Genomic DNA, 5,368 nt, shown 5'->3' with positions numbered 1-5,368 from the left:
CTTCCAATCCCAATCTCTTTCCAGGTATAGACACCCACTCTACTATATTTAAACTTTGATTTTCAAACCATCTTTCATGCATATTTATTTTGATGCATATATTTACATTGCAATATATAAACCTTATTTATATGGAGCATCTGTCTGCTGCATAATATTCCTTTAAATATATGTACCATGTTTTATTTGTACATTTCTCTAGAGATGGACACCTGTGTAATTTCAGATCTTTGCTAGTTCAAGTCATACTGCTATGAACATTATCATGTGTCTGTTTGAGGACATCTTTTTGTAAAACTCTATGCGAGTGATTCTCCAGATGTTGACATTTCTCCAGGCATAGAATTTCTAGGCATGGTATTTATGTATTCTTTTTTTTGTGTGTGTGTACACATTTAGTTTTATTGTAACAAAGCAACTTGTACACTTTTAATGTTTAAAACTGAGCATCATCTTTCCTTTCCAGTGAAACAAAAAGAAAATTTAAAAATAAACAGGAACAAAATTACAATAGAGAATGTCAATTCCAAATAAGATCCTACAGGTTCTGCTGATTCTCCCATTGAGTGGCAGGGCTCAAGTCATCATTAGGAGACAATTTATTTTAAAAGTGTCATCTTAAACTGCAAGGATGTCTGTCAAATATCACAATTAAACATGCCAAAGGAGAAGCCATGTTGTCAAAATGCCCACTTAACCCACCCAAACATCTCAAACCAACCCTTTGCTGACCTTCTATAACCCCATTTTTTTAAGTTTTTTTTTTCTTTTTTTAAACAAGAGAAAGTAGACAGATACATATTGGTAAATGCTAACTGTCCATATTCACATAGAGACACAGTGTACTCTCTGAGCCCAATATACAGAGAAAGGAGGAAGAAAGCTAGAATTCTATGCACTACTACACAGGGGCCTAGCACCCTCCAGCTTCTAGCAGAGCGAAGGGAGCAGGTTTTTCTTTTTTCCCACAGAGCTCGGTGGTGTTGATTCCATACAGTTTTTGTTCAGACAGGAAGGGATAAAAATGAACTTCGAACAGAAAGGGGTAGAGACTCTTTTCCCATTGTATTCTGCTCAAGGTATTTCCCCCCAAATAAGTTGAGAACCATGGAGCAGAGAAAAGAGACCTCAAGAACAGGGTGACAGAGCACAAGAGGGAAAAAAAAAAAAAAAAAAAAAAGACTGCAACTTGCTCCCAGGAACTGGAGAAAATTTAAAAAAAGGAAGGTTGGAATCCATCAGTGTTCTATTTAGTCATCTTCTCCTTCATCCTCCTCTCCTTCCTCCCCTTCATCATTATCTTCATCTTCTTCACCTTCATCCTCATCCCCTTATTCATCAATATCTTCTAATCCTTCCTCCTCTTCATCATCATCATCATCTTCTTCTCCTTCTCCTTCTTCATCATCCATATCGGGAACCAAGTAGTACTGTAATGGGTTTGGCCAGATATCATCTTTGATGACCTCTCCTAACTCATCAGCACCTGCATCAGAATGGTCAGTAAACCAGGTAAAGAAGCTCTCTGGTTCCTCATGCTGCCTCTTCCTGCTGGCTTTATTCTGTGTTTGACTTGAACGTTTCGTCAAATCCTTTCCAGATTTCCATTTGATTTCGGTGGACTTCGAAGATGGATCACCACTCTCATTCAGAAGAAATTCTTTGGAGAGAACTTTATTTTCAAAGTAAGGATTTTCATCAAAATAAAAATCTATTCTGTAACCTGATTTAATATCTTCAAATTCTGTCACTTCAACTCTGGTCAAATAATGCAGTGCCTCTTCGTCTTCCTCCCCAAGCAGTGCAGACACTTGTGGATGGCTGACAAATGTTGTTACCCAAAAATTTGGGATTTTGGCGATCAATTCTGACCTCTTCTGAAAAAATGGTTGGCGGAGTTTGTTATATTTCTGTTCTACTTTCAAAATCTCCTCACTGGCTTGTTCATTAAGTCTGTCTGTTTCATTTTGTACTTCATCAATGTGTTCAATCGCTTCTTGCTGTTCTTTTTCTCCCTTCTTCAGCAAGCCTGCAGAGGCCGATGTCTCCTCCGGTCACAGAGCAGGAGGTGGTCTTGGTTTCTTCTTTTGAGGCTGGAGTGGAGACTGGCGTTTAGGCGCCATGCTATTAGGGAAGTCCCAGAACCAGACCACAAGTCTCCTCGCCCGTCCGGAAGCAGGCTGAACACTATGTATTCTTAATTTAACTTTGCACTGCTAAAATGGCTCACTGTAATGACTATTTATACTTCCACCAGCCATAGATGAGGATTCTCATGTCCTCACATCTTTGGCCAGTATTTGACATTACCTGACTTCATTTTTGTCAACCGGATTCTGAGAAAATTGAGTTAATTTATTCTAAATTCATTTTTCGTATTACATTCACTTAAGAGATATAATGCTTACATAAGTTTCCCTTTCTGTTAACTACTTATTAATATTCTGTGTTTTCTGACTTTTTCTTGCTGCAAGTTAGAATTGTATGCTAGAATTCCCTGAATATTCTAAATAGTTTGTTGGTTTTATACATTGAAAATAGCTTTTCCAATCTGTTTCCCTGTAGGTTGTTTGTCTATGATGAACTTTGTTAAATAAGAATTCTTAATTTTGATGAAAATAAATTTTTAATTTATAGTATCTACTACTTCGAGTCTTGTGTAATTAGACTGTCCTCAGACAGCATCCTGTATTTTCTTCCATAAACTATAAAGTTTTACTTTTCATATTAAAGTTTTTAATCCACCTACATGTTATGTGGAGAACTGGAGATTCATGCTACCTCTCAAAGAAACAAGAGTAGGCTGGGCACAGTGGCTCATGCCTGTAATCCCAGCACTTTGGGAGGCTGAGGTGGGCAGATCACTTGAGGTCAGGAGTTCAAGACCAGCCTGACCAATATGGTGAAACCCCATCTCTCCTAAAAATACAAAAATTATCCAGGTGTGGTGGCAAGCACCTGTAATCCCAGCTACTCGGGAGGCTGAGGCAGGAGAATCACTTGAACGCGGGAGGTGGAGGTTGCAGTAGGCTGGGATCATGCCACTAAACTCCACCCTGGGCAACAAAGCAAGATGAAAGCAAGAAAGCAAGGAAGGAAGGAAGGGAGGCAGGGAGGGAGGGAGGAAGGGAGGGAGGATGGGAGAGAAAAGTAAATCAGTTAGGAATATTAGTAAACAATGACAAATTTTTCAAGAGAAGCCAGAAGTTGAATTCTTTTGTATGTAACATCTCCTGATATTTAAAACATGGTGCTGTTCAAACAAAACATAATGTGACCCAGACTTGTCCTGTGAGCTGCCAGCTTTTTTCCTTTGAGTTGCAAGATTTTTCTTTCATACGTTGACCTGACTTTTGATGCCTTGTAGTCTAGTTATTAAACAAGGGTTTTTGCTTTCACTGCTTTATATTGTTTCTACATTTATTTAATATGGCTTATCTATACCTAACTTGTTCCTAATCCTGCCCATTTAGCAGTTTTATCCCCATCTTCACACAGGTTAAATAATGGACCATAATTCTATCAGCACATTTATTATTACAATAATACTACCTCATAGCAACAGGGGTAACCACATGTTTCTCAAGAACCAAAATCAATGGGAATAAAAGAGGAGTCATTTTTCTGCCATCTGTCTCACAATGCAGACTCCAGGAACATATGCTTACACCAAGGACTTCCTGGAGAGGCATTGTTTAGAAAATGAGGCTGTGAGTACCTTGAGAGTAACTGCTGTGTCTTCAATTGCATCAAAGACCCAAGAGCTCCTCACAAAAACATTTATCTGAGAAGTTCCTTTGTCCCCTTATCCTCTAGAAAAATGAATGTAAGGGAACTCAACATCAAAGTAGGTATGGACGTGGCCAATAAAAACTTTGCACAGGCTGGGCGCTGTGGCTCATGCCTGTAAGCCTAGCACTTTGGGAGGCCAAGGCGGGTGGATTACTTGAGGTCAGGAGTTCAAGACCAGCCCGGCCAACATGGCGAAACCCCGTCTCCACTAAAAACACAGAAATTAGCCAGGCGCAGTGGCGGGCGCCTGTAATTCCAGCTACTTGGGAGACTGAGGCAGGAGAATCGCTTGAACCTGGGGGGCGGAAGTAGCAGTGAGCCAAGATAGTACCACTGCACCCCAGCCTGGGTGACAGAGTGGAACTCTATCTCAAAAAAACAAAAAAAAAAACTTCTCACAGTAGTGATCACAGTCCTGGAAAGTCTTGGATAAGAAAATTCTAAATAGCCAATTTACAATAAACTAGGGAGGAACTTGGTAGACACTACATGGCAAATTGTATTAATATTCAAAATATCTGATACCCCTTTTGGTGGGAAGACTATACTTTCCACCACACTGATGTCATGCTTGGCCATGTGACTTCTACTTCCCTTTCCTGTTGTGTATTCATCCCCACTCCATTGAATGCAGATGGCATGCTTTGGGACAAGAAATGTGAGTAGAGGTGCTGTGTTCCTCTTTGGAACAAAAGCTTCTCTTTTCCTTTGACTGGCATGTCTCGGGGGAGCCCACTTCTTCAAGCTGAGTTGCATAATAAAGATGACAGGGAGCAAAGCCTCCACTGACTTGCAATCAATATGGAGCATGAGTGAAAAATACACCTTGGTTGTCACAAGCTATTGAGATCTTAAGGCTGTTTGTCACCACAACATAACTTAGCCTAAACTGACCGATGAAATTTACTGCAACAAATCCATAATACTTTATATTTTGGACACATAAATTTTCTTCCAAACAATGCATAGTGCTTTATGTTCTCTGGCTAATTCTCTCAAATGCAGTCAATGGTTCGATTTGGTTTGGCTTTGACATTATCTATTTTAATAAATACAATTACTATTGTATTACCTCTCTGCCTCCAAATACCAAGGAGTCTCTCCACCAGACTACTAAGAACACTATTTTTAAAATCTGAAAAGTGTTTTGAGAACTTAGGAGTGAGTTAACCTTAAGGTTCTTTACTTTAAAGACCTCTGTGAAGAACTAACTTCTGGTTTTCAGTCCAGCATGTAAGAAACTTGGAAGTCACCATTCCATCCTAATAACAAGTAAAAAAACTGAACAAATGGAAAAATCAACAACTCTTCTTAGATCCATCAGAGAAAAGAAGTTCCAGAGCAAACCACTTCCTCAAAATTTGGAGAGAGTAACAGGTACAGAGAATTGCAACTTAACAGAGCAGAAACCTCTTCAGGAACCAGTGCCAAGGTAGGGAAACCTGAATTATAATTGAGGAAATGCTAGAGGCTCAGAATAGATAAGACTGAGGTTTAAAACTTTAGAAAGGCCTCACACTTTTGTCAGTGTTCACTCCTGGAGCTCCACCAGGTTCTTACAGTGAATATCAAGGGA

General features: G+C 39.4%; 1 pseudogene; it reads right to left on the bottom strand.

Moving 5' to 3' along the window:
* Window positions 385-2,189, bottom strand: SETP14 (SET pseudogene 14; annotated as a pseudogene).

The sequence above is a fragment of the Homo sapiens genome, chromosome 3 (assembly GCF_000001405.40).
Source record: "Homo sapiens chromosome 3, GRCh38.p14 Primary Assembly".
Classification (NCBI taxonomy): Eukaryota; Metazoa; Chordata; class Mammalia; order Primates; family Hominidae; genus Homo; species Homo sapiens.
Note: the sequence above shows the minus strand (reverse complement) of the source record. Positions and strands in the feature narration are given on the sequence as shown.